Source organism: Homo sapiens, chromosome 4 (assembly GCF_000001405.40).
Source record: "Homo sapiens chromosome 4, GRCh38.p14 Primary Assembly".
Lineage (NCBI taxonomy): Eukaryota > Metazoa > Chordata > Mammalia > Primates > Hominidae > Homo > Homo sapiens.
This window is the reverse complement of record NC_000004.12, coordinates 159,200,351-159,225,951: the sequence shown is the minus strand read 5'-3', so window position 1 is coordinate 159,225,951 and position 25,601 is coordinate 159,200,351. Positions and strand designations below refer to the sequence as shown.

At 38.2% G+C, this 25,601-nt stretch overlaps 1 protein-coding gene across 2 annotated transcripts in view; it reads right to left on the bottom strand.

The window, feature by feature from the left end:
- The window catches only part of RAPGEF2 (Rap guanine nucleotide exchange factor 2), a 257,095-nt gene that overhangs the window by 134,222 nt on the left and 97,272 nt on the right, over positions 1-25,601 (bottom strand). For both annotated transcript variants that reach the window (NM_001351724.5, NM_001394067.2), the window contains exon 4: positions 15,369-15,452. In NM_001351724.5, coding sequence (NP_001338653.1) covers positions 15,369-15,452 — 84 coding nt within the window. The remainder of the gene's footprint in view (positions 1-15,368; positions 15,453-25,601) is intronic.

The following is a 25,601-nucleotide window of genomic DNA, read 5'->3' as shown; positions in this document are numbered from 1 at the left end:
AAGTTTTTATTTTTTTTAAGGCACATGTTAGATTAGGAGGAAATTTCTGCAAAACATAGCCAACAAAATAATTGTATCCAAAACACATAAAGAATGCTTACACAACTCAAAAATAAGACAAATAATCCAATTTTTTAAAACAGGCAGAAGAGGTGAACTGACACTTTGTCAAGATATAGAAATGGCCAACAAACACATGAAAAAATTCTCAACATTAATCTTCAGAGAAATGCAAAATAAAAACCACAGTAAGAATACTGCCACGTATCTACTAGAAGAGCTAAGATGAAAAAGACTGACAACACCAAGTGTTGACAAGGATGTGAGGCAAACAAGTCTCATAAACTGCTAGTGTGAATAAAAAATGTTATAGCCACTGTGGAAAACAGTGTGGGAGTTCCTTATACAGTTAAACATACATTTACCATGCTATCCATCAATTTCACCCCTAGGTACCTTTCCAAGACATTAAGGAAAGCATACACCCACACAAACAGACATTCGTGAATATTCGTAGAAGCCAAAATATGAAAGCAACTCAATCATTTTCAAATTAATGTTTTGTGAAAGATTAATACTGCCTCATTTACAAAATTCAGTAATTTTATAAATCTGGCATCCACTTTATATAAGGATTGACAACATATTGTATGGCTTGCTAAAATAGACCATGAGACAACTCTGCACTGGGTTGGGCGGTACAGCAAAATTTTAAAGTTTTCAAATTCTGTCCCTGTTTGTTACTTTCTGACATGGCTATAAGTACTCCTCTTTTCCTCTGGTATTCTTTCTATTTACCCAACTCTCCACCTACCCTACCCTGTATCTACAACCTTTCTCAGGTGACCCAGGTTATCTCTTTATATCCCCTGTAGCTCCCACCTATTTGTTAATGCATTAATTAAACATGCCTAAAATCAAGTATCTTCATTTCAACTCTGATACCCACCTACCTCATTCCCTCCAGATTTGGTTATAGCTGTCAAAGTAACTGCTCTGTAGACATCCAAATTCAAAGATCTGAAGCCATCTTTTACTTTTTTTCTTCCCTTGTCTGAACCTTCAGTCACTAAATTCCACCAATTAGCCCTTTTAAATTATGCTCCATCAACTTCTTTTTCCATGGAAATACTAGTCAGGCCCTTAGCTTTGGCACACAGAGACCATTAAGATAAGGTTCCTGTCTCTGGTTTCAACTTTACCAGATCTTCCAGGGATTCTCTTCTTCTATTGCTCTACCTTTAAAACAGTTACACATCGATTTTAAAGTCATTCACCTACAGCCTCTCTGTTCGAATCTGATTAACCACCTGCTGGTATGCTTTTAAAACAAGAGAGTCTAAGGTCCAACTCAGATGTGGCAAACCAAAATCTCTAGGGCGTGGGACTCAGTACTTTGCCCATCCTAAGCCAGGCAAATCTAATAACTGCCTGGTTTGAAAATCTCTACCTTGGGCAATTACTTTGAAAGTCTTGCCCCATGTCATCTTCAAACCATCTTTATTGCCTAACACAAAGACTCTAAAGTCTTTTCTATATACTGTCCCACAAGCACGTTCTTAGAAAAATTAAAATTCATGCTTCTTGGGCTTGAGTGGTAATCAAGCAGCTCTTCTCTACTATATTTGAAAGACTAAAATTACTTTATGTTCTGACATAGATAATCAATGAAAAAAATCTGTTTCAGCCACAATGATGCTTTCAAACACAAAATTTCCTATACATAAGGGATTTTAGAAGTTCACTTAAATGGGGTCAGGCGTGGTAGTTCATGCCTGTAATCCCAGCACTTTGGGAGGCCAAGGCAGGCGGACCACTTCAGGCTAGGAGTTCAAGACCAGCCTGGCCAACATGGCAAAACCCCATCTTTACAAAAAATACAAAAATTAGTCGGGAGTGGTGGCACATGACCGTAATTCCAGCTACTCAGGAGGCCGAGGCACAAGAATCACTTGAGCCTGAGAGGTGGAGGTTGCAGTGAGACAAGATCACACCACTGCACTCCAGGCTGGGTGGCAGAGCGAGACTCTGTCTCAAAAAAAAAAAAAGTTCACTTAAATGGGATAATGGCTATAAAATCTGGAATATCTTATTCAAAGCCAACTCTTTAGTTGTGTTCCCAAAATTATGTAAGTTAAAATTCAAGATAAGATGAAAAGAGGTAAACAGAAATGGTCTCACGATTCTGAGTAATAACTAAATTATTATCTTGGACTATATCCATCATGGCAAGAAGAGAGGCAAACATATATGTCTCTGATACGTATACGCTAGAGTATATACACGTTCATCCTAAAATGTATCTGATTTAGCCTAATGAAATGGAATTTCTTAACTTGAGGTTTTTCTGTGTGTAAAACTGAATTAAGTCTGCCTAATGACTGTTTTCTAAATTTACCCTAATGAACCATAAAATAATAATAAAACACAACAATGTGTTTGACAAATTTTAACCATTGCCCTCATTTTTAAAACTATCTGAAAATGTTTAATTAATAGCAAAGTTATCTTAAGGAAATTACACTTACATTCTAAGCAATTTCTAGTTGTAAAACATGAAAAGGTAAGCCATCAAGAAAAGATAAGATTATCTTGAAATATCTGACTCAATAAAGTAGATAGAAGTATAACTAAGAAAACAGTGATTTAATGTTCGTGTAGCTCTCTAAATACACGAACACTAGATAGCAGAAATTCTATTTTCTATTTAATAGCAAAAATATGTAACCCCTATAACGCCGTAAGAAACATCTAAGACAGTATTTTAAATATTTTGGACTCACAATTCAAAATACTAATTGGTAATAAAAAATAACTGCAGATCCTTTTAAAAACCACATGACATTTAAATTCTTACACTTAAAAAAGCAATAATATAAATATCTAAGCTATTCCTTCACTATTATTTCAACGAGTACTGTCAAACAGCTTACAATACATGGAAAAAATTAAGTGGGTACATAATACAGAATAAAGTCACCTTCAACATTTCAAAATATGATTTTCTTGTCTTCAAATATATATATATATATATAATTCAACTCATAATAAAAGTGTCCCTGAACTATGATTAATTGGACATTTTTATCTTAATAATGACATTCCAATTTCCCAGAGTATAATTTCCTTCACATATCAATCCTTCTTTTAACCATATTCTTACTCTTGTTATTTTCTGTTAGCGACCCCAATACAGAGAGTACACTTTCTTAAACAAAAACAAATTTAGCTGCTATGTTATTTTAAGATACACCCTGAATTCATACAAGTGAAACAGTAACTCACACATCCCTCTATCCCTTCTCCAAAAACAACCGGGGCACAGACAAGAGTTATGAGTTCCTTAGCACTTAGCAGTGGGTAACCAACTGAAACATTTTCCAGAGAAAAACAATACTGTGTTTCATTGACACAAACATCAGACTCTAAAATCTTTATGAAATATAGCATTATTTATTTCTTCAAGAGAAATATAAACATCACTGCAACCAGGACTTCTGGGATGAACTATCACACACTCATTTATAGCAAGGATCACAAACAATGCCCTAACTGAACACGTGAAGCACCAGGTGACCTGTGGAACTCCATCAACTATACACACAAAAAATATGAGTCCTTCTCTTTACGGCTACTTACTGTGTTAAGACACTACCAATCCCAGTGTTCCAAAGGCCACAGAAGCCTGCATTTATATGTACAGCACATCTGCGATGTTGTAGTTATAGCAACCAAATTCCCAACTTGATCCAGCAATTGAACCCTCTCTCTCTCTAGAGAACAGCTTTGCTCTGTGCATCAGGTATCACATCGGAATATGATGTACAAGAGGAAAGAGGGTTCTAAATGATGCTAAAAATCATGTTAGTGTTCCAGGATGAAGGTATTTCATACTGAAGCAGAAATTATGACTAATATCCGAAGGGGGAATATTTTAATATATACCACTGTGACTATTTACATATTTCACTTTACTTCTTTAGAGACCTACCTTATTTTACATTTAAAGTAGAATATACTTAAAACTAGTGTAGCTAAAGTTTCCCTTCAATATCATCAACTCTAGTTGAACCAAGTTGATATTTGTTTCATCATTTTCTTTGCCTTATTTGGAATTCTCTCCCAGCACTTCCTTAAGATCTTTAAGCCTTTGCCTTATATATGTCACAGGAATACCAGGACTTGAGTCAACTTTCAGTAGGACAAATAGGAATTACAGATGATATAAGAGCTAAAGGAGCGTGGCTAAGCCAATGTAGAATGTAAGCATAGGCAATTAATGCACTCTGAGAGTGAGGGGGAAAACTGAACAGCAGGTGTAACAGAGACCGTGGGTTCCCTGCCCCAATATCCATTTTCCTCTTTCTCCTTAGAAGGATAGTTTTTATATTATTATTTTTAGCAGGGCACATCACGTTGCAGAGTAAAAGACTACATGTCCCAGGATCCTGGGTGGCCTGAAGTAGCCACATGACTACTACTGTCCACATTCTGTACAATGAGATACAAATAGAAATGACACTTCAAGCAATCTGTCTTGAATGGAAAAGGTAACTTTGCTCTATTGCCTTTCCTCCTGCTTCTAGCTTTCAATGCAGACATGATGGCTGGGGTTTGGCAGCCATCTGTGCTACGAACTGACCCTGAAAATGCAAGCCACATGCTAGCACAAGCGGAGAAGAAGGGTGGAAGCCTGTAACCTTTCACCTTTGCAGCCACCACCAAACCATCCTGAACCATCCACTCCCAGGGTCCTTTTCTGTGAGAGAAAAATTGGGTCCTACTGTGTTGTTGCAATTGGTTTTTGCAACCAAAACTGATTACAACTAACATAGTAAGAAAACCAATATCCAGCCAACACCATTTGCCTTTTTTCCTCTTCTACATCCCTGCAAGGGTCGAACAATATCAATTTCTCATACGCTTTCCCCAGACTCCTCCTTCCATTACCTTCCAACCTCATTCTTTTCCCTGGTTTTCTCCTCTATATCAACCTGACATTAAATAAATTGTAGGTTACTGAAAAGTTATTTCTAAAAGGGAATATGTTATCATAATATTGTCAAACTTTTTAAAGTGATTTTTTTAAAGGTCAAGTTAAAAATATAATTCTGACCCAACAGAATTTAGCAAACATTTATTAAATGCCTGCTGTGTCCTAGGCACTGGGGAAGCAAAGATGAATAATAGAGCCCACACCTTTGAAAATCTCACAGCTTGGTATGGATATGGAATGATTAATCCTGACAGGAATACAAGGGTAGACTTCCCAAAGAAATTCACAGAGTAGGGGGAAGGTGATAACAATGTGGTGGATATCCCAGACAGACAGAACAGCTTAGACAAAAGTATGTCCAGACCACAGCGATCAGTAACTGTAGAGCGTGTTGGAAGCAACGCAAGCTGGAAGCACTTTGAGCTGTCCTGTATGTCTCGCCAAGGAGTGTGGATTTATGTTTGGCAGCAGGAAATCACGGAATTCCCAAATCTACCAACTGACCTACATCTCTCATCCTAAGTTTATAAAAGAGCATGAAGTGCTTTTGCTCTCTCAAAAGCTAACACCTCCCCCACCCCATCCCACCCCACTGTGGGAATTTCATCCACTTCTGCAAGTACCTCCCCTCTGTCCTGTATCACCTTTGTACCTCTCTCAACTGGATCATTTCCATCAACACACAAACACGTGCTAGTGTCTCCTAACTTTGAAGAAACAAACCCCTCTTGACTTTACAAGTCCTAGCCACCACCCTGCTCTACTTCACAATGAAATTTTTTGATATGATGAAATTTTCTGTTTCACCAATTCTTCTTTCCCCATTGTCTCCTCAACCAGCTCTGCCACTCCACTAACACTAGTCCTGTTAGGTCACATAGGACTCCCAAGTTGCTAAATCCAAAGGTTATGTCTCTCATTACTGAATGTCCCTGCAGCACTAGACAAAGTGAACCTTCTCAAAACACTTTTTATCTCTTGGCTTTGATAGCACATGAGGAGGATCTCTCTTTTAGTTCAGCACCACATTCTAAGCAAGCATATAAGAAGCAATCAATAATATTTGTAGGACAAATAAGATAGAAGTATACGCATATCAAACATTGCAGGTGAGCAGTTTAGGACAGAAGTCAGGATAAAAGAGCTCATTAGTACGGACTAAGCACTAAGGTAAGGAATCTCTTGAAAAGACATGACTAATAACCTGGAGTAATGTCTGATTTTAGAAATCAGTTCTGGTCATTTTTGCTCATAACTTTTAATAATCCTTTTGGTAAACAATTCTTCAAAGATAAAGTTATGGCTGCGCGTGGTGGCTCACGCCTGTAATCCCAGCACTTTGGGAGGCTGAGGCAGGCAGATCATGAGGTCAGGCGATCAAGACCATCCTGGCTAACACGGTGAAACCCCGTCTCTACTAAAAATACAAAAAATTATCCGGACGTGGTGGCGGGTGCCTGTAGTCCCAGCTACTCGGGAGGCTGAGGCAGGAGAATGGCGTGAACCCGGGAGGCGGGGCTTGCAGTGAGCCCAGATCGCACCACTGCACTCCAGCCTGAGCAACAGAGCAAGACTCCGTCTCAAAAAAAAAAAAAAAAAAAAAAAAAAGGATACAGTTGGGACACTATCCCTTGTAGTGATTAGGTTTTACACATTAATATCTTAAAAAGAACAATACATATACCGCCCATTCTTGATAAACTATCTACTTAACTTAATAATTACTTCATAGGTTAATGCTTTGTAAAACTAATACGGGTATGTCAGTTTTTTATACCTGTTGCTGGATTAGGTGCAGGGTAAATAAGTGCAGAAGACTTAGGGAACAGAGTCAAGTCCTAGAGGATGAACTGATACACATACACACAAACAAATATATATTTATGCACATGTGTATATTTTAACTCAGTTGTAGATTCAGTTATACATATATGCATAGATCAAACTGAACATTTTTAGGTTAAAACAGATGGCTCCCTGCCTAACCTAGTACTTTCATTAACTGGCCAATTAGAGGGCCCAATCACCTGCTTCTGCAAAAATAACATGATAATGAGTTGCACAAGACAAATCCTAAGGTAAGCAGTTCTTACACACTTAGTAGCCCTTACTAATTCTGCCATCATCTAACTTTAGGCCATTCCAAATATGAATTAAATAAAGTCTTATGGTTTTCAAGAAAACGACTTTTTTTTTTTTAGATGGAGTCTCGCTCTGTTGCCCAGGCTGGAGTGCAGTGGCGTGATCTTGGCTCACTGCAACCTCTGCCACCTGGGTTCAAGCGATTCTCATGCCTCATCCTCCCGAGTAGCTGGGACTACAGGCTTGTGCCACCAAGCCCGACTAATTTTTTTGTGTTTTTAGTAAAGAAGGGGTTTCACCATGTTGGCCAGGCTGTTCTTGAACTCCTGACCTCAGGTGATCTGCCTGCCTCAGCCTCCCAAAGTGCTGGGATTACAGGCACGAGCCACTGCGCCAGGCCAACAACTTCTAATAATGTTCTCTATAAAGAAAATGTCTAAAAAGCTTACGTATTGCCTCATTTAATCCTATTACAAGTTAGTGATATTTTCCCACGGTAGGAGGAAAGGGTATATAAGACCAGTATATTACTTGTAAAACTCAATGAGGACAGTTTTAACATGATTTGTAGTTTTTCCTTTTTCCCCTCCATTCCTTCTCCAATCACCACCCTCCTACCATGCTTAATCTGCACTCCAGCTGTGATTTTTGCCAATACCTGAAAGTAAATCTTACGTGAATACACAACTTCCAGAACTCCATCCCTCACTTATCTTTATGCCTTTTGGATATGTTTAATGTCCAATAAAGTTACCCTTCTGTAACAGAATTCACTAGTGAGTTATTTTTAAAATGCCATACTCCTTAAGGCATCTCCAGTAAGTCATTGTATGACTTATAACAAATGTGTACTCTTTCAAGAATACGATTTTCTAATCCTATATAGCTCTTTACATGAAATAAGAAACACTTAAATTTGTCTTCACATACAAGTGGCCAATAAACATACGAAAAAATGCTCAACATCAATAATTATGAGAAATGCAAATCAAAGCCACAGTGAGATACCATCTCACACCAGTCAGAATGGCTATATTAAAACGTCAAAAAACAACAGATGCTGGACAGGCTGTGGAGAAAAGCAAACGCTTATACACTATTGGTGGGAATGTAAATTAGTTCAGACATTGTGGAGAACAGGTTGGACATTTCTCAAAGAAATAAAAATAGAACTGCCATTTGACCCAGCCATCCCATTACTGGGTATATAACCAAAGGAAAAGAAATCATTCTACCAAAAAGAAAACTGCACTTGCACATTCATCTCAGCACTATTCACCATAGCAAAGACATGGAATCAACCCAGGTGCCCATCTGTGGTGGACTGGATAAAGCCAATGTGGTACATATACACCATGGAATGCTACTAGCCTTAAAAAAGAATGGAATCATGTCCTATGCAGCAACATGGATGGAGCTGGAGGCCGCAACACAGAAACCGAAAACCAAGTATCACATGTTCTCACTTATAAGTGGGAGCTAAACGTTAGGTACTCATGGACATAAACATGGCAACAACAAACACTGGGGACTACAAGAGTGAGGAGGAAGGAAGCGGGCAAGAATTGAAAAGCTACCTATTGTATACTTTGCTCACTATCTGGGTGATGGGTTCAATCAAACCCAAATCTCAGCATCAAGCAATATACCCTTGTAACAAACCTGCACGTGTACCCCCTAAATCTAAAATCAAAATCAAAATTAAAATAAATAATCCCACTTGAAAACAAACAAGTAAATTTGTCTTCAGTCTCTGCCACATAGAACCACTCATCCATTGTTTTACCTCCTTTCACTACTAAAAAAAACCTTGCAAGCTCTCAGAGCAATCACTTAACTTATCACGCAGCACCGGCAAGCAGAAAGTAGGCCTGCGATTTTTAAACTCAAGTAGCTCATTGTTTGTCACGAGAATCATAATGAGAATAGTATTTCAGCCTCTCCAAACTGATTAGTTAAATGTCCTGTTTCTCCACTTATTCTCATTATAACTGCCAGCTGTAATTTAAAATGTGATTATTAAGAGTACCACAGCACAATTTTAATTTTTAAATTATGGATACAGTTGGTATCAATGAAGGAGAAGCACTAATTGTAAATGGACACAGTCAACGTGGTGCAAATACATGATATGCACATTTCTTTCAACCTTCTGCCAGTGTTACCTGAGACCTAATTTACCAACAGTCCCAGCTTTCCAACCAAGTTATACAGCTTTGTAAAGTAGAGCTCTCATCAATGCCACTATTACCAATGCTTCTGTAACTATTTCACTCCCTAAACTACACTTGCATTCTAGATAAATTGATCTCATTCTTTTACCCTCACTCAAGCTGTTGGTTATGTTTGAATTGTCCTCGCTGAATCCTATCTCTGTGCCATCACTCATGTTCTTTATCATGTCCACATTTTCTTTCTGACCACTTTCCAACAATCTAAACTATAAACCCAACTCAGAAAATACCCCCTTAAAAGCCACCCTTGATGACCTTCCACATACATTAAAATACCCATCTTTGAAATGATTTTGCATTCTGTATGGTCTTTGCCATGTCAATTTACACCGTACAACTTACTTGTTCAATGACACTCAGGGAATTTTTTCTATTTCCTATGCAACCGCCTCATCGCCCCAAGCAGATACTAAGTTACATGATGGCAGGGGTAGATCATCTTGCTTCCTTTGAATATTCCAGGACTCAGTGTAGAGACCACACAGTAGGAGTGTGGTCAATGCATGTTTCAATTAATGTTTTAAAATGAGCAGGATAATCCATAGATAAGCATGGAAAGGGCCCTTGAAGCAAACCTCAATTTTGATGGCACTTCACAGTACAGCAGTTCCCACTGCCAGTACATTTTCAGTGACAGATAAAATTTCTTAACACACTTGTAGTATAGATTATTTTGCCTACTAAGTCTGATGCCCAAATAACCTGGTATTTCAGACCCTAGAGTCCATGCATGAGAAGCCTCCACTCTCTGTATAGTCTTTGTCCTAATCTCTCCGGTTTCCAGCCTTAATTACCAACCTCCTATTGGCATCTTGGAAATTCCTAGACTAATAGCTACCCTGGGATTAATTTCCCTTCAACCTTACAGTCCCTACCTGGTCACCACATAAAAGAAAGTGAAGAGATTCCTCTCCAAATGCTCTATATAAAAGATATAAAAAGTTTTAAACTATCAGAGCAATAAAGATGTTGTTTATGATTAAATATGGTACACATGACTATTTCTATTAAAAGGCCCTTCCTTTGAGACTTCTATGATAAAATTGATTTTATTAAGAAAATCAGACTAAACATTTCAATAGCAGTGATTTTTTAAGACTGTGACCAACATAAAAAGAGTTTCTCTGTATAACAATGGTTCATGTCTTAAATATCTAGCACAGGCCAGGTGCAGTGGCTCATGCCTGTAATCCCAGAACTTTGGGAGGTCAAGGTGGGAGGATCACTTGAGGTCAGGAGTTTGAGACCAGCCTGTGCAACACAGCAAGAACCCCATCTTTCCCCCAAAATATTTTTCAGATCAGCAGGGAATGCTGGTGTGTGCCTGTAGTTCCAGTCACTTGGGAGGCTGAGGAGACAGGATGGGTTAAGCCTAGGAGGTTGAGGCCACAGTGAGCTAAGATTGCGCCACTGCACTCAAGCCCAGATGACAGACTGAGACCCTGTCTCTTTAAAAACCAAACAAACAACAACAACAAAAAACTGGCAGTGGCTCACACCTGTAATCCCAGCATTTTGGGAGGCCAAGGTGGGAGGATCACTTGAGGTCAGGAGTTCGAGAGCAGCCTGGCCAACAAGGTGAAACCTCATCTCCACTAAAACTACAAAACTTTGCAGGATGTGGTGGTAGGCACCTGTAATACCAACTACTTGGGAGGCCGAGGCACAATAATTGCTTGAACGTGGAAGGCGGAGGCTGCAGTGAGCTGAGATTGTGCCACTACACTCCAGCCTGGACAACAGAGTAAGACTCCACAACTCCCTCCCCACAAAATAAAAATTGTATACTGTTTTTTCTCCTTTTGCAAATAGGTTTTTTAATGACTGATAAATTAGTAGAAAAAGACTCTAACTCAATGAGTTAACATAAAACCTAGGTAAACTATCTCCTTCTTTAACAAATAATCTAAAGAGCTAGATACACATTTAGAAATACAGCCTGAACCTATCTTTAATAAATTCCTAGCCTTCTGGAAGTCAGCAGGCAAAAAATAATATGTTGGTTCATTATCATATTGTGACTTTATTAGGAAATAAGCTTCATCATTCATAGAATGGGGTAATTTTAGACAAAATTTTAAATTCCACAATTTCTATTACAATTTTTTAAATATACTGATTTAGGGTAATTAGGGGCAATGAAAATTGTCAATGTTTTCCTATCCATTAGGTACAATAGCATAAAGCAAAGGTACATTAGAAAACCATTTCTAAATCTGCAACCTCATAAGATAATCTTCATCTACTGCTGTCTAGCCCCACAGCTGTTGCAAATGATGCCTTTGAAAATATTATGTAGGAAAAACTCCTTCTTCTTACTACCCTCTGCCTGTCAATTATTTTAATAAATCAACCTACAATGACTATGGGTGTAATCAGCACCTCATAAAGTTATGCAGCACACAACCTTACAACAGTGTCCACAATTGCTTCACTCATAGATCTGAAAAAACACATCACAGTTTGCTCTGTTTCTATATTCACCTATGGCAAATATTCTCTCTCACCCCATACACTCCATTCTTAAATTACCTTTGATAGCAATCTTCCATTGATACAAAGAAACTGAATTCATTTTAAATAAGACTTTTAAGAAAACAATAACTATAAATTGTACCTTGCTTCAATACAAACTGTAAATCAAATAAGAGTTCAGCTCTATCTGAAGGCAACAATATATGTAACAACATAAAATACATGGCATTACAGGCACTTGTATAAATATCAATGTTTCAAAACTTGACAAATTTCTAGTAGATTAAAAATAAAACTCACAAAAACAACATTCATAATCACTGAAACTGCTTGAAGTGGAGAAGAGTGAGCAAGCTGTCACTGACAGTCACATAGGAATTCATAAGCTCTACAAATCTTAACAAGGAACAATACTCATGTTCAAACAACCAAAGTAAAAATACATACCCAAACCACCCTCATCTATCTAGGAAGATAACAAAAACAAAAGAAAAAAAATTAGAAAAACATAAAATGCTGACTTAAACGTCAACTGAGGATTTCAATAAGGCTAATTAAATCTGGAAGCCAAATGACAGATTTTCTGCCATATATATCATCCTTTTCACCGGATGAAATCATGTGTCAAAACAATTTCATAAGAATTCATCAAAAATATAAAAATGTTGTTCAAGCTACTTTGGTACTTTCAAGGTGAATTACCCGTCAAAACGAGTTGGCACTTTCAAGAGAATGCTTGGTTGACTTATTATATACTGATAACCAATTTCCAGGCTTACATGATAAAAACTTGGGGTGAAGAATAATCTGTAAACTAGTTGTTTTATAAACTGGACTGTCAGTAATACCTAATCCATATAGAACCTCAATATTTTCTGGGAAGAGAAATATATATTGAATCACTAACGCCAATCTTCAACATAACACCATTAAACTCTTTCTCATTAAAACAATCTCAGTCCTATTCCTAAGGCAACATCCCCAAAGGAAACAAGCAACTTGGACGGTGCAAACTGTCAGCAGGTGCAACATGAAGGAATAACCTATATATAGTACTGGCTTGTCATTCCGTCGGAACCGCCATTCCCTCTTTCACCCTATTAAAGTACTAACTGGCAAGCACTTGACATCCAGCCAGAAAAAGAATAACTTATGTCATCTTTTAAAATAATTAGACGTAGAGTCCAATGTGCTCAAGAAATAAGTCTGAACTGCAAGAACTCTTTTTTCTAGAATAGCAGTCTTCTGAACATTAAGTTCCCTTTCCAGAAGTTAGAACAAGCTGTTACTTGACTACTTGATAATGGCTGGTAGTCAAGGACGACCACTACTGGCTTCTTCACTGTTCTAGGGTTTCAGTCTTATGGATTTAGTTTGTACAACAGACCCTGTATTAAGATGATGATAAAGTCACAATCAGTGCTCTTTTTAAGACATAAATTTCAAATTACATTTGCTACAGCATTATTTATAATAAAATGTATTCTTTAAAATTATTAACTAAATTGTGGAAAGTTCAAATAGCTGAATGTTAAATAGGCACTAAAAGTTATAAAGAGTAAATCTTTTTTGAAGAATTTTTAATATTATAAGGCAACACATATATTCTTTAACCAGAATAAGGAAGACATTAAATTGTATTTAAAGCATGATCTTAAATACAAGCATATAAGTGTAGAGAAAAAAATACTATTAAAGAATGATTATCTCCGATGACAGGATTTTAGCTGATAATGTTTCTTCTCTTTATTTTTGAAAATGTATGTAGTAATTACTACTTTTATATTAAATTATATGTAATTTTTAAAATATGCCAATGCTTAAATACCATTTGCCAGCACCTTCTTTTAAGTTCAGAAATAGAGTCAGACATAACCTCCAAAAAGGGACCAAATAATAGGTCCTGAGTCTGAAGGAGTGGAAGAGCTTTACGATTCCAATGGAGACATTCCTGCCGAAAACAGAATTCCTAGAATTATCGAAGCTGGTTCACAGGGTCACTCTAGGCTTTCTAGGCAGATTTCCAGGAGGTACAACTACGCTCCATCCTGTATTACCATCGTTTCCTCATTCATAAAATACAGGTAATAACTGTACCCACTTCAAAGGAGAGTTATGAAATCATTTAACATATACAAAACATTTAAAATGGTGCCTGGTAAATGGAAAGTACTGTAAAAGCTTAGCTATTTTGTCGTCATTCTTTTATTACTATTATTTTTACTACTACAATTATTACTATCTTTACTACTACTACTACCACCACCACCAATGCTAGCATCATTTCTAAGACTATTGCTACTACAGAAACAAGCAGGCAATAGAGTGTCCCTCCCTCATGTGACCATTTTCCAAAGAGACTATGTTTGCCAATTTGACCTCAAAGAAGTAGAAGGGCAAAGAGGCATGAGAATCGCACCCAAGATTATTTTTAATTAAATGCAACGTGCCTCTGGCACTCCTTCACTAGCATTCTGGCCACCAAAAGCCCATTCTACTCACGTCAGCTACCACACCCAGGCTGATCTTTCTCTACAGTGCAAAATTACCTCTCCTTGTTTCAGACTCTGACCTTTTATAAAAATCTGTTCACATCTTTCAAATAGATTCTTAATATGACCCTGACCCAGTCAGAATATTTATCAACAAGACATTACAATATTTTTATAGAAGAGCTAAGTGACAGAAAGGGGCAATCCCTGTACTTTAGTCGATTCAAATAAAATATTTATTTAGTAATTTAAAATAAAAATACTTAAAATTTTAAAACCTTTAGTAAAAATTATTTACTTGCGAAAAGCACACAGAAACGTAACTACTGAAACTCAGTAGCTGACACCCTTGGGGAACCTGAATCTAGGCAATCATGTATGTAACAGATGAGCCCTAACCCTTTCTGGCCACAGCTGGTTGGAACAGAGGAATACATCCGCCCCAACCCAGGCCAGTCAGATTGTATCCTGAGGAATCTAAAGACAATACCAGCACTGCAGTCAAAACAATGTAAACATTAGGGACATAAGGCCATAAGTGAGTAGTCAGCACATACAAGCCAAAGACACAGGGAGAAAGGAATTAACAGCCTTACAGAGCAGGTAGCCAATCCACAGACAAATGCAAAAATGAAAGGCCATATGGTCTTGAGAAGCAAAAAATGTCAATGAAAGTCCCTGGCTTTCCATTTCTAGTCCCATGTGGTCTTAATGAACTTTCTTTGCCTCTCTTTAGATGTTTATGAGACTGCCTGCTATACTCTTTAAGTTCGTCCCCCTTTATCTAAGCTATCTTGAGCTGATTTTATTCCCTAGGAGCAAATGTGCCCTCAACACAGCTGACATGATCATGTAACAAATGCACATGTCATCAGCATGTTTTCTGTTCTTGCCCTTTGTTAAAGAGATTGGAAAAGTATATACAAAACAAAGTTATTTCTTAAAGATTCATGCATCAACACCCCAAAGTACTGTCTTGCTTTGTATCAGCAGAAGAGAACACAGGAAGAGAAAAGAATTTTAGAACTGAATTCTGCAAAAGAATTTCAAGCTTCATGGATAATCTATTACAGAATGTCTATACAATACCTGCTTCTTGGAAGAAACATGGATTCCTTGATGAACACGGAACCAGAAAGAAGGATATACCAGCAGGTCCCAATATCATCAGGGCTGAAAAGAAAAGGTAACAGAATCAGATTGTTACCTATAACAACAACAACAAAAAATTAAAACATATAGCACAAAGTGCAGCACCCATATTACTTTTAAAATAATAAAGAATAGCATACAACACATTCATAAAAATACCATTATTCAACTACTGAAATCATTTTTACAAATTACTTTGTATCCCTGAAATACACCAAATATATTTATCAGTACATTTAAATGTTTCAAATGTTCCTTAGACCTATAGCATCTACCATTCTAAGTTTTTTTACTTTTTTTGAACATGAAATACTTTCACTTGCTTCATAAAATGAAAAAATACCCAGAGCTATCAGTGAAACTTACTATTTCTAATCATTTTCCCTGTCCAGCAAGTTCTCACATTTCTCCACTATTTCTTCGGTATTCTTTTAGAATTTCTTTATGTATATGCACACAATAATGGACATATATTCTTATCCCTCCCATCATCTTTCTTCTTTGTTACAGAAAAGACAGCACACTCTACACAGTTCTTTTCTTTTGCAATAACTCAGAGATCTTTTCATCAAAAGATAGCTTTCTTGAGTATTCTTTTTACTGCTGTAAAGCATGTATGGATGTGCCATATTTGACTTAAGCAACCCCCTACTGATAGTCATTTCCCATTGTTTTCAATATTATACAATTATATAAAAACAAATAAAAACTGCAATAGTAATTTTGCACATACAGTAGTAGCTGGAAGAAAGGCAACTGTTGGGTCTAGGAGCACATACATAGTAATCTTCTTAGGTATTGTCAAACTGTCCTCCACAGGTAGTTAGCAATTTATATGCCTACCTACTTCCCCACAACCTTACTAATATAGTTTGTTATAATTTAACAAATATTGACAAATTTTATGTGGAAGGCTTTTCTGGATGTTTAGGATATGTCAGGGAACAACAACAAAAAGATCCCTGCCCTCACGGAGATTACATTCAAGTCTCATAGAGAAGACATTTGAGCAAAGGAGGTGAGTTAGCCACGTGGATCCTGAAGGGAGCAGCATTCCAGGCAACAGGCAGGGAGGATCAGGAGTGTGAGTGCAAAGGCCATGGGCTGCCACTGCCTCGCAAGGTCAGGGTGACTTTAGTGCTTTTGGATGTTTTGCCAATCGGCTTGGTGAAAATGATATCTCAGTTTGTTTTTCATATAAGACCATCTTTTTTAAGTTCATGAGTCATTTCTATTTTTTTTTTGTAAAATCACTTCATAACTTTTAACTAAGTCTCTAATTACTCTAAGTCTCCAATTAATTGTGAGGGTTTTTTTTTTTTTTTTTTTGGCTGGGCATGGTGGCTCACACCTATAATCTCAGCACTTTGGGAGGCTCAGGCAGGCGGATCACCTGAGGTCAGGAGTTCAAGACCAGCCTGGCCAACGTGGTGAAACCCCGTCTCTACTAAAAATACAAAAAAATTAGCCAGTGTGGTGGCTCACGCCTATAATCCCGGCTACTTGGGAGGCTGAGGCAGGAGAATCGCTTGAACCCGGGAGGCGGAGGTTGTAGTGAGCTGAGATTGTGCTACTGCACTCCAGCCTGGGTGCCATGGCGAGAGACTCTGTCTCAAAAACAAAAAAAAAAATTGTGAGATTTCTTTTTTTTTCCTAGGGGTACTTTATAAAAATTGGCCTTCTGAAAACATGAGCTGTGAATATCTTTTCTCCCAGTTTGCTGCTTACCCTTGGACTTGGTTTATGGTGCTCTCTGCCATGAATAAGTTATTTTATCACACATAGTCAATTGCATCAAATTTATTAGTTAGGACATAAACTCAGCTACTATTAAAACAAAAATCTAAACATAGCAATGGCATAACATAACCAAATGAACCAAAGTTCATTTCTTTCTCACACACAAAATAGTCTGAACACTGGAAGTCCAAGACTGGTAAGATGTTTCCACGATATTGGGAAGCCACACTCTATTTTATGGTTCAGCCATCCTCAACCCATGGCTTCCATCTCATATTCTAGGGTGACAGGTCCAAATCTCATCCACCACATCCACACTCCAGCCAGTGGGAGGAGTAGAAAGGAAGCACAGAGCACACCCCATTTCTTTCAAGAGTACATCATAGACGCTGCATACTATGCTCCTCTCAGATCCCCATGAACCATATGCACGTTGCAAGGGAGTCTTCAGCAATTTCTGCCAAGTCCTTGTTTTGTTTGGTTTCTGTATTGTGACATTAAAAAGTTTTTTAGAAGACACTAAATTCTATTTACAACTCTGAATAATTACATTACTTAATAATGTCAATCACTATCACCTAATCATTTTCACTGTGCTATCTACTTCCAAAGTGAATCAGCAGTGGAACATCTTTCCCCCCAAGTCCATTCTTCACCAAATTCATGACTACTTAGCTCAACAGCAATGCCTCAAGAAAACATAACGGAAAAGCACTGTCAAAGAGTTCAGTTTGAATGCAGAACCATAAAAATAAAAAGATTTCTAAAGTGAAAATGCAAAGTACTTCAAAGAGTAATTCATATTTTTGTCTCCTCAGTTTTTAATCATTAGCTCTTGCAACCAGCAATCATTCGTTTGGTTTGTGAAAAAAACTTATTTGTCTTTATTAATATGACAGCATTATTCTCAAATTCTGAATTATGCCAAGTAAAACTGTTATTCCAGACCCAAAACTAGTTTAATAATTTTTAAATAACAAATGGTGAAACACTAAAACAGAAAGCGGGAAAAAAAATACTCTGTAAACTTTTTAAAATCTGTTTTTACAGTGTTCCATTTATCACAAAAAACGTTAGCCCAAGGAAATAAAATCTAGAAAAATAGGAAATTAAGGTAGATTGCCACTTCCTAACTATGTGGCCTGGGGCAAGTTACTAGGCTGCTGCAAGGATTAAATGAACAGTTCGTGATCATTAAATGCAAATAATTATTCAGTGACAACTAATAGAGTTAACATGTTAGAAAGTACAATAAATGGCACCATGATCTAGATTATCTGTGACAGAGAGAAATAACAAACATTAGCTGGCTTTTCAATTATTTCATGTCTGTCAACTCTGAAGGCAAAAATAATATCGACAAATTAAGCACAAGGCTTACAAACTCAGCTCTCCTGGCACTGATAATAAAACACACTTGAAGTGAAAGGCAACCAGTGTTCAAAGTCGGTAAAATACTGTGGCAGTGAATGCTCTAGCATCCTTACCACCCGTCGATTAGCCTATATTTAGGGTTGACTCTTTATATCAGGAAATCCATGGGAAAGATTTGAGGATGTGAAGGTAAGTGGTAATCTCTACCACTTATTACAATTTTGTTTATCTGATAGATAGGCTGTTTCTCTACATTCCCCAAAGAATCCAAAGCTAACTTGCAAGAGTTATATTTGCTTTAGTAGGCATTTGCAGAGAATGACCATTCAATCAACATTTATTAAATTCAGTGAGCATTTACCACATGCCAGGCCACATATGATAAGCAAAATTTCTTTGAGCTATCCCTTCTAAGGATTCAGATTTTGGAAAAGTAAGTTAATTAAAAGTAAGAATACATAGTTAAGAAATGTAAGAATACAAAAAACAGTGACTCTTATTTTACAGATGTTCTGGAAATAGTTGTAAGCTAGAAAAACCCCTCTCCTCTCCTCCTATCCATCCCCCATAGAATTCATGTTTAGTTCCTGTTATGAAAATTCCTTGCTGAGGTGTCAGCATCGAAATATGTTTTATTTAGTCTTACTAGTCTAGAAAATTCCCCTTACTTTATTAGAAAGCACTGAACTAACCACGCTTACTCTTTTCACTTACAATCATGCCTCAGGCAGGCAGAGTTTCCGTGTGGGGTACAACGTGCTTCCCTTCAAGGTCTGCAAACACTTCCTTTCCACAGTGCAGCTAGCTGTCACTGGAGGGTTTTTACATGTGTATGTAAAAATGGGAAAGTGATGGTTTTTTTAAGAAAAATGAAACTGAAATTATGAAAATAGTACTTAGTAGTAGCAGCAGCAAATTGTTCAGTACTTAAAGGATATGCAAATTGAGACCTCACTTCCAGGCAATGAAGCTGGTTAAGAGAAGACTGACAATAATAATAATAGTACAGACGGTGCCCAACTTCCAATGGTCTGACAAGCTTTTTTGTCTTTACGACACACTCAACTTCCAGCACCACAACGATTCTGCTTTTCATTTTCAATAGAATATCCAATAAATTACATGAGGTACTCAACAGTTTGTTATAATATAGGCTTTGTGTTAAAAGATCCTGCGCGGCTGGGCGCGGTGGCTCATGCCTGTCATCCCAGCACTTCGGAAGGCAGAGGTGGGTGGATCACGAGGTCAGGAGATCGAGACCATCCTGGCTAACACGGTGAAACCCCGTCTTTACTAAAAATGCAAAAAAAATTAGCCGGGCATGGTGGCGGTGCCAGTAGTCCCAGCTACTCGGGAGGCTGAGGCAGGAGAATGGCGTGAACCCGGGAGGCGGAGCTTGCAGTGAGGCCAAGATTGCACCACTGCACTCCAGCCTGGGTGACAGGGCGACACTCTGTCTCAAAAAAAAAAAAAGATCCTGCCCAACTGTAGGCTAATGTAAGTGTTCTGAGCATGTTTACAGTAGCCTAAGTGTATGTGTCGGTTCTCACACTGCTATAAAGAACTACCTGGGACTGGGTAACTTGAAAAGAGGTTTAACTGGCTCACAGTTCCGCAGGCTGTACAGGAAGCATGACTGGGGACACCTCAGGAAACTTACAATCATGGGGGAAGGCGAAGGGGAAGCAAGCATGTTTTACCATGGTGGAGCAGAAAAGAAAGCAAAGAGGGAAGTGCTACACATGTTTAAACCACCAGATCTCATGAACACTCATCCACTATCATGAGAACAGCATAGGGGAAATCTGCCCCCATGATCCAATCACCTCCCACTAGGTCCCTCCCCCAATGGCACAACAATTTGACATGAGATTTGGGTGGGGACACAGAGCCTAACCATATCATTAGGCTAAGCAATGATGTTCAGTAGGCTAGGTACGTTAACTGCATTTTGACTTAGGATGTTTTCAACATATAGTGGGTTTATTGGGATGTAACCACATTGTAAGACAAGAAGTAAGTGTAGTGGTAGTAATAATAATAAATATCTAAGACTAACACTGAGATTCTATTCTATCTAGTAGTTCTCAGGCCCTGATGTGCAAATGAATCACCTAAGATGTTAATTTAAAATGCATCTATCCCACCCAATTCCCCAGTTTCTGATCATTAGATAGGAGATCCATCAAAGTGACTTTTAAACAAATATCCTGGATGTTTCTTACACATGGGGCTGGCCAACTCTGAAAAACTTTCAGAAAAAATGGTCTCAATATGAACTCCCAAGAGGAACAAATGGCAGGAAAAAAAGTACAACTCTATTAATATCCATGCAACTAGGTACATACATTGTATTAATCAGTGCTATTTTAATTTTTCCTCAAATAATTTTTTTTTAAAATTATGAGCAAAGGAGCCCCTTCAAGTGTTGCTGAAATGCCAAAGCTTAATCCTGAAAGAACCCTGACTGAGGATTTCCAAATAACCTGACACTACCAGTACTGGGCAAAAAACAGAAATCTGAAGACTAAAGAGGTTCGTATAGGAAAGCAGTACTTGCGAGTCTCTCTAATCAGGGGAATTCACGCTTACAGAAGACCAAATCCTTCTTAGAATCTCAGAATTTGACCACAGGATCTTGAGCTAGGAACCACAATGGACAACTGATTTCATTTCAATACATCTCATCCCACAATGGACAAAACGGAAGTCACAAAAGCCCTGGTTTATAACGAGAAACTCTAAAAGGCTCCTGTTTCTGTTTTTCATCAACAGGAAGGAAATTAACGAGGCCAAACAAAACCAAATACAGACCATTATAAAATGATCAGTTCACCTTCCAATGTAAACAGATAGAAAGCCTCTGGGGCAATCAGAACTGTATGATCCCCGCTGAGCATTATCCCAAGTCTAAACAAAGAATAATGGGCATGAGGGAAATACTTGATCTGACCCCCTCACCTCTCCCACCTTCCTTCCTACTACCCCTCAACATAACCTGCTGCTCCTGACAGGCTGCTTTCCTTCTGTTCATTCCAACTCTGCCATGCTGTTCAAGATGTTTACCTCTCTCCATCTACCCTCTACATCCCACTGTACCTTAAGAGATGGCTCAAAAACTACTACTTTAAGAAAATCTTCTCACTCACTGTTTTCCAAACTCTAAAATACTTAGCCCATCTAATTTCATTGTTTTATGTTTTTCTGTAATGATTTCTTATTCCTGAGCATCTTCTTCCAACTACAATGAACTTCCTTTCAAGGCAGGAACTGCGCATCATGCCTAGTAGAAGCTGGGAAACATTTCAGTGATCATTTGCTCAGGTAAATCGGATCAGATGACATCCTTCTGATGAACCCCATGGTCCTTCACAGGAGAAGGTCCAAACCCCCTGGCAGAGCCCATGAAGGAAGCAGGAAATGCTGTGCAAAGAGCGCAGGTTCTGGAGCACAGATTCCTTCTTCCACGCTAGCCACGTGATCGTGGTAAAGTCAAATTCTGAGATTCTAGTTCCTCAACTGCAAAATGGAAGACATTGATGCCTTCTTCACAGAGCTCCTTTTATTTAATGAAACAATATATATGCAGTACCTTGCATGATGGTAACAAAAAATACTAGTTCTCTTCATCTTCCTCATCTCCTTTCCTCTCTTACGATCGTCTCTGAAAGGACCAACCTACAGCTTTGCTTTCTGCTCCCAACCCCAACATTCCTTATGCTGCAAACTTCATCCTGTTCGGCCAGGCCACACATTTTTTTTTCCACCTATGCCACAAAGGTTTTGAACAAACCTGCAGTCTAGCTTCTAAATAGTATATTTTCTCTTGTAAATTTATTACTCATCCTTCTAGTTCCAGGTTAACTATCACCTCCTCTGAGAAGTGTTTTGGTATATTCCAAGGAAAGTGAGTCGCTTTCTTCCAGCTTCCCAGTGCCCTGTGTACATGCTCACGTGACGCAGGTGCCAGAACGTCATAATTATTCACATTGGGAGTTTCTCCTCAATAGTTTTTAAACTCCTCTAACTCTTAAGTACCCCCAATATATACACTACATAATGCTTGATTGGCACTCAAATATTTTCTTAATAAGTAAATTAATGAACTGAATAGACAGGAACCCAGGTAAGGTATTAAAGTGCTTGAAAGTCAAAGATGTGAACTTCAGTTTACCAGTAAATGGAAAAATGGAGCCAGGATCTAAGAGCCTCCTCGGCAATATCCTAGAGATCCACAAGGTGGCACTCTCTCCATGGGAAAGAGCTGTGTGTGCCGCTCCACATTCTCATTTAAGGAGGTGGCCAGTAAATGCAAGCGATCAAGTTGAAGTTGACAAGGGAACTGAAAGAACAAAAAACTACTAAGTCCAAAGAAAACTGATTAAATCAGCAAAGACAATTATTAGAGGGCAAGAAAATAACTGTGAAAATGCTACTTCATTCAGCTGTTAATACAATGTGAAAACTTAAGTGAGGCCCAGTCAGCCAAAAAGGTTGCTCATGGAGGCCAGGCACAGTGGCTCACGCCTGTAATCCCAGCACTTTAGGAGGCAGAGGCAGGTGGATCACCTGAGGTCAGGAGTTTGAGATCTACCTGGCCAACATGGTGAAACCCCGTCTCTACTAAAAATACAAAAATTAGCCAGGCATGGTGGTGGGTGCCTATAGTCCCAACTATTCGGGAGGCTGAGGCAAGAGAATCGCTTGAACCCAGGAGGCGGAGGTTGCAGTGGGCCAAGATCATGCCACTGCACTCCAGCCTGGGCAACAAGAGCAAAACTCCGCCAAAAAAACGAAGAAAGAAAGAAAAGCCAAGGGGGACTGACAAGGAGAGAAAAGAGAGTTGAAAGAAAACAGAGCGGCAGGCGTTGCGGAAGTGGCTGTGGGTAAAGGATGCTGATCCTAGAAGACCATCAGCTCAAAACAAGACTCCCAACAGCCACAAACATGGCCATCTAAGTTTTGGGGGGTTTTCGGGAGTGGAGAAGCAATAAACAGAAACAGAAAGAATGGTGCCCATGCAAAATCTAAGCAAACTGGAACTAGAAGTTAGTGCTTTCCCAGATGATCCTGACAAAATATGAAACAAGGAGGGTGTATGGGGTACAAGAAGAGACTCCTCCCACTCTAGCAGAGCAAGTGCAATATGGCCAAGCCTGAAGCGGCCCAGGGGAGTGAGGAAGCTCCTCTAAATGCTTCACATGGACAGCATTAACAAGGTCATTAAAACAGAGAAGCAAAAAGATGGCGATTGCTTTGTGAGAAAGAATAGGCAAAATGTCCAGAAACAGTGGCTGAGCCGAGCACACGACACAGCTATCTGAGACAGGTTCGGCACAACTGAGAACCACATATAGCATCAAATACCAATTTTGGTGCTATTTTAGAAAGGTCACTTTATACTATCCAGGATGTAATACCGCACAGTATCACATTCAAAAGACAAAGCTGTTGGCATCTGGAGAAAAGGAGACAGGAATCATCATCGAGGGCTATTGATCACATGCCTATAAAACAAGAAAGTGAAATAAAATGAAGACTAACAAAGGTTCCAATAACTACATGGGGACCACAAGGAACTCCAGAGGGCCAGCCACCCATGACCAAAAAATAGAAAAACACCTTTATTTTCCTGTATCTGCGGTCTCACCAACACCCTCCAACCAAAAGATAAAGGGACAACTTCCGAAGCTTCTCCCTCTTCACAGCCTATCATCACATTCTGCGGGTTCCCCTCCCAAGTCTCTATCGAAACCCTTTGCTACAGTTCAGGGTCCCATTTTTGCTCACCTACACTGCTGTTATTACAGACTTCTGGCCAGCTTAGACTTGTGCTCTCAAATATACGATTATGCCAAAAAACCACAGTGAAAATTACTTATTTACAACAAATTATCCTCTATCCTTTTATAGGCGTCCCGCAGACAGTTGAGATCAGAGGTTTTCAATGTCAAGAGCCCTTGGGATTTCAAGGCGTCCAAACCTCTTTCAACCATAATAGCTACTATTGTTGGGCTGAACAGGATTTTCTATGAACAAAGTGTTCCACGGCTTCAAAAAAATAAGTTCTAACAATGGCCACCTTCCAATAGACAGATGGCTTTCCAGATACACAATAATTTTAATCTTTTTCACAAATACATTACATCATTTCTGTTACTGGATTTATTACAGTTTAAAAATTTGTATATTTTTACTCCTCTGATGGAGCGCTGAGCTATAAGCTGATAGACAAAGTTTTCATTATTTATTTTTGTATAGTCAAATGGCACAAAGCAAGCTCACTAGATAAGTTAATGCAACACAGCACAGTAAGCAACCCCAACAATGATATCAAGCCAAAAGAAATATAAAGTGCATGTACTAAAACATGAAGTATACGCCAAATTTTAGAAGGAGGACTAACAAGAGTTAAGGGCTTTGGTATTTACAATTTCCACTGTTGGAATACTGATATTTTATTATAAAATGATATTATTCATAATACTGAGTTATATGTAAATATATCAATTATATATAAATTCCCACAATAAGAAAACAAATGACATTTTTAAAGTAGAGGGTAATTTTTATTCTATTTCTTAAAAGTTCTAAATTGTAAGGAAATTACTTCATTTATAATTAAAAACTCTGAAGAAAGAAAACACCATTTTAAGATTTTCAAAAAAAATCCTTATTTTCCAAACAATAGCAATTCATTTACAAGGAATTGCAACCAACAAAACAGGAAAAGTCAGTAAGATCAATAAGAACTCTGAAAGCTGATGAAAATATTGAAGACATTTCATCTTTATACTGAAAATACAGGGGACACAGCAGACATCCTTTTTTTTTAACTAGCAAACAATGTAAACTACTAAAGAACCAGTAAAGCCAGATATTCTATAGGCTCATTAATGTTATCATTTTTTTCATTATTTATTATTTTTATTATTGTTTTTGAGACAAAGTCTCACTGTCACCCAGGCCAGAGTGCGGTGGTGCACTCTTGGCTCACTGCAACCTCCGCCTCCCAGGCTCAAGTGACCTTCCCACCTCAGCCTCCTGAGCAGTGCT